This window comes from Homo sapiens, chromosome 10 (genome assembly GCF_000001405.40).
Source record: "Homo sapiens chromosome 10, GRCh38.p14 Primary Assembly".
In the NCBI taxonomy this organism is placed as follows: domain Eukaryota; kingdom Metazoa; phylum Chordata; class Mammalia; order Primates; family Hominidae; genus Homo; species Homo sapiens.
This window is the reverse complement of record NC_000010.11, coordinates 80,752,293-80,757,382: the sequence shown is the minus strand read 5'-3', so window position 1 is coordinate 80,757,382 and position 5,090 is coordinate 80,752,293.

Sequence of the window (5,090 nt, the reverse complement as noted above, 5' to 3'; positions counted from 1 at the left end):
TCAAAGAATAGGATAGAAGAGCACAAGAAAGGGTCTCTGAAAGAAGGCAGCAAGCAGGGGGTAGCAAATCCTTTGAACAAATTATACAATCTTCCATAATCTGCCTTCCTGATCACAGATATTCACTTTCCTCCCTTTGCATTAAAAATACACTCTGTCAGACCCCAAGGAAAAATATTTCCCAAATGCCTAGCTAATTATGGTTTCAGACCCAAAGCCCAAGATGGTTAATAGTTTCTGAATCTGATCCACCTGGCTCCTCTTGATATACAGATCATGATATACAGATCTATGCACCTGAAGAAAAGTTATCTACACACACACAAGTACATCCCTCCCACATACACATGCATACTCACCAAGCATTCAATGGCGCAAGAGGGACAGTGTGATCAAAACAGGCATTTCTATGTGGAAAGGGAAAGACTAGGAGGTCACACTTAATACTGGTACATAAATTCCTGAAATCCTACTGGACAGATTTTTTTAAAAAGCCCTTTAACCTGAAGTTGAGAATCCATTATTCTTAACAGCTGTCCCCTCTTGAAAATCCTCTCTTCTTTTCTGTCTCTGAAAATGGCATTAGAGAATATGCCCATGTTACAGCCTGGGTAGCTATTTCTTGTAGAAGACTGGAGGGCCCTAGGGCCATTTTAAATACTCAAAAGTCTCAGTTTCTTTAACATATGCTAGTGTCTCTTTTGGTTATAGGACTCTCTCAAAAATGTGGTTTTTTATCATTTGATCCAATCAACAATACATGTAAAGTGGCACCCACAGTTCTTGAATCATACCAATGCACTTAACTTTATAATGTATGAGTTACAAGTGAAAATCAATTGCATCTTCCAACCATGTAAACCCTGAAATTTATAGACCCTCTACATTCCCTTTCAATTCTGCTTGAATATCGGCCAATTCTTTTCTGAGCTAACCTCAGTCTTTTAGAACATTTCCAATAACAACCAAATCACGCTACAACATTCTAATTTCTCACTTTCCTCATAAAGCCACAAGTTCATTAGTTTGGGCACTGCCCCATATTTTAGATTTTGTTGATGTTTTTGTTGTTGTTAGGCAACATCACTTTTATGGTACCAATTTCCATATTGGTCAACTTTTTACTAGGTTTTGCTACCATAACAAACCCCAAAATCTTAGTGACTTACAAGGGTTTACTTCTCATGCATATACATGCTGGCTGCAGATCAGCTGTGCCTGTGCTCCTGGTATGTTCTTCATTCTGGAACGCAGGCTAAAGGATCAGCTGCCCCTATCTGAGCCCTCCTGTTCTCATAGCAGATGGAGAAGAGTGATAGCAGAAGCAGCATAGCTTTTAAAGCTTTTGCTAAGAAAGGGCACAAGTCATTTACGCTCATGTTGCATTGGCCAAAGCAAATCACACAGCTGAGGCTAACTCCAATGACAGAACCTGTAAGATCTTCTCATGGGAAAAGCACTAAGGGCCCCTGTAGGAATGGGGCATGGGTGGGAGGAGGCCATCAATATTTAAAATAGGTAGTACAGGCCGGGCACATGCCTGTAATCCCAGCACTTTGGGAGGCCGAGGCAGGTGGATCACTTGAGGTCAGGAGTTCAAGACCAGCTTGGCCAACATGGTGAAACCCCGTCTCTACTAAAAAAAACACAAAAATTAGCCAGGCATGGTGTCAGGCACCTGTAATCCTAGCTACTCGGGAGGCTGAGGCAGGAAAATTGCTTGAACCTGGGAGGCAGAGGATGCAGTGAGCCAAGATCATGCCACTGTACTCCAACCTGGGCAACAGAGTGAGACTCCATCTCAAACAATAAAATAAAATAGGTAGTACAGTGTTCCACACCTCAGTCACAAAATAGTGTGAATATAATTAGTAAAAGTTTCCTGGAACATAGGAGCTGCTCAATAAATAATAGCTTATTTTCCTTTTCATTTCTATCTCCCTTTTCCTTCCCAATTCTGAGATTTTAGCATTCTATGATTTTGCTGATAGCATCTGCAACCAGTGAATGAGAATAATGGAATGAAAAAGATAATAAAAATATCATCAGAGTGTTTCTTAATTTCCAATGTGGAGGACATATAGGAAATCATCCTGATCATGACCTAATTTTCCTATCATTATCTTGCAGAATTATAGACTAACCTCCTTTTCTGTACCCTTTCAACAAATTCAATAAACATATGCTGTGTGTGTTTTAAAATCAGCACAAAAATTTAGGAAAACAGGTTTCATGAGGGTTTTCTTTGGTTATTATTGTTAACAATCAAATACACTGTCCTCACTTAAAGACCTAATTCTAAAATGATCTGTGCCAGCAAAGAATGAATTTCAAGACAAGTGTCCCAGTCATCATTTGCTTTATTTCCTGAATTGCTTTCTTTGAGTCACTGACTATATATAAGCCACCATCATGCCATGACCAAAATAACTGGATTTCTGGGACTGTTTTTCTCTGTAAACACATTGGTAGAGCTACCAATAAAAATAGAAAAGAAACTCCTGAAGTTAAACATTGTCCCAAGGCAATGTTATTCACCCAGTTACTCAAAATTTTTCTCTATTACTGAGCATGGACAGCATCTTTATGGAGTGACAAGACACTAGTCCATTTTCTCCCTCTTTCTTCTACCATGTTATGCAGCCAGAGGACAGAATCATGGGTAATCCAAATTGGTAGGATTTTATTTACTCTCACCCTTTCCCAAAAAGTTATTTTTAAAAAAAAAAAAGGTTTCTGTATTAGTCCATTCCCATGCTGCTATGAAGAAATATCTGAGACTGGGTAATTTATAAAGAAAAGAGATTTAATTGACTGACAGTTGTGCATGGCTGGAGGCCTCAGGAAATTCACAATCATGGCAGAAAGAAAAGCAAACATGTCCTTCTTTACATGGCGGCAGGAGAGAAAAGTGCTGAGCAAAGCGGGAAAGGCCCCTTATAAAACCATCAGATCTCATGAGAACTCACTACCATGAGAATAGCATGGGGGTAACCGCCCCCCCGATTCAATTACCTCCCACTGGGTCCCTCCCACGACACATGGAGATTATGGGAACTACAATTCAAGATGAGATGCGGGTGGGGACACAGCCAAACCATATCAGCTTCTCTTCATAAAAAGTCACTTCCCTCATTCCAAGTTGCAAACAAAAACTAAAACAGAATTCAATTGTGATGACTGTTTATCTAAACACCTGCCATCAAGGACCTTCCAACAAGGAGCAGCAGGGCACAAAGGGTGAGGATGTTGAGGACAACTAGGAATCCTAGAAAGTAATCTGATAAAAGAGCTAGAGGTTTATACATTGACCTGGAACTCCACACAAAACAAGAGCACTGAGAACGTGGCCAGGATGCCCTTCACCGACATGCCTCTGAGCCAAAGGTGTGCCAGGGCCAGCTTGTATCAGCTTGAGAAAACCAGTTGTCAAATTTTTGATAGCTTGAAATTGCCCATGCTGGGAGTGTTTATACCATGGAAATTGTAAATGCTACAAACAAAAGCTTTAGTTTCCAGAGAGCTGGTTGTTAATGTTTACCAGCCCATCACAACACCAGGCTGTGGTTGCTGCTCTCCAGCTGAAATCCCATTGAAATGAGCACATCACATTCCCCTCTCCCTGGATACTTGCTGCCAGATTCTGTTCAGAAAGCAACAGGAAACATTAAGAAAATATGACCGTCAATACCCTGTCACTGAGCATTAACCACAAAGTCTATCCACATGTGCTCTGCATAGGAAGGAGGGCTCAAATTCATCCTCTGCTGATGTTCAGAGCCACGCATCACCTGAGGTCAGGAACTGTTGGTTTTTATTCACTGTTGTTCCCACTGTTCACACTGAGCAAGAGAGTCTTGAAGGAGAGTGAGAAAAGTAGGCGCATGAAAAAGATAGGATTGAAGCTTTGCCTGTGGCATTGCAAATCATGTAAGACCAGGAGAGGTGGCCAAACCTCACTCTGCAGGCTGTTTCCTTTCTCATTGGAATGACACCACAGTAAGAGAAAAGGCTCCCATGTGGGAAGAAGACCAGGTCTGACTCCACCTTTGACACTGACTCACAGTGTGACCTGCAAAAGTGTTCAATTGTCCTCCCAGGATACTGTGATTCTAGTGATTTTCATAGAACCTACCACTTGTGGAAGTGCTTAGGGGATAATGCAAAAACAAACAAATAGAACTACATCTAAAAAACAAAAAGGAAGAAAGTGAGAGAGATGGGGGAAAAGTAAAGAAAGAGAAGTAAGTTTTAAAAAGGAAACAGAGAAAAAGAAATTGGAAGCTGAGGCTAAAATGGTTTTTTTCATCCATAGGAATTGAAAAAAAAATTCATTTTTCCCAAGTTTCCTTAAACTCAATAATTGGCTTTAAAATAAGTAAATGTCAAAACTGTGAACTTAATACCTACATATGAATAAAATATCATTTTGTATTTTTTTAATATATCGAAGACATTTACATACAATTTTGTTCGGAGAAAAAAGCTCCAGTGCTGAAAAATAAGTTTGAAAGCTACCCAGAGAAAGAGGAAAATGAAGGATTACTAATTAATGGGCATAAAGTTTCAGTTCAGCAAAATAAATAAGCTCTAGAGATCTGCTGTACAACATGGTGCTTAGAGTCAGCAATAATGTATTGTGCACTTAAAATTTTTTCAAGTAGCCAGACATGGTGGCATGTACCTGTAGTCCCAGCTATTTGGGGGGCTTAGGCAGGAGGACTGCTTGAGCCCAGGAGATCAAGGCCAGCCAGGACAACACAGCAAGACACCGTCTCAAAAGAAAAAGTTAAGAGAGTAGATCTCATTTTAACCGTTATTACCACAATTAAATAAAAGAAATAAAACTATTCAACCAAATATTTATTGAGCAAGTATTTTATTGTAAGCTCATTACAAGGCTAGCTGCTAACCCTATGTGTTTATAGATTAAAGAGAGAATGCAAATATTTTCCTCAAGAAACTCAAAGCTAGACTTCTAATCCAAGGTTTATGCTTTAAACTACCCCTAACACTCTCAACAGAGCAATTCCGTTTAAAAGTTTTAATTGCAGTTTTTAAAGTTAATACAATACCACTTTTCAAGAAAG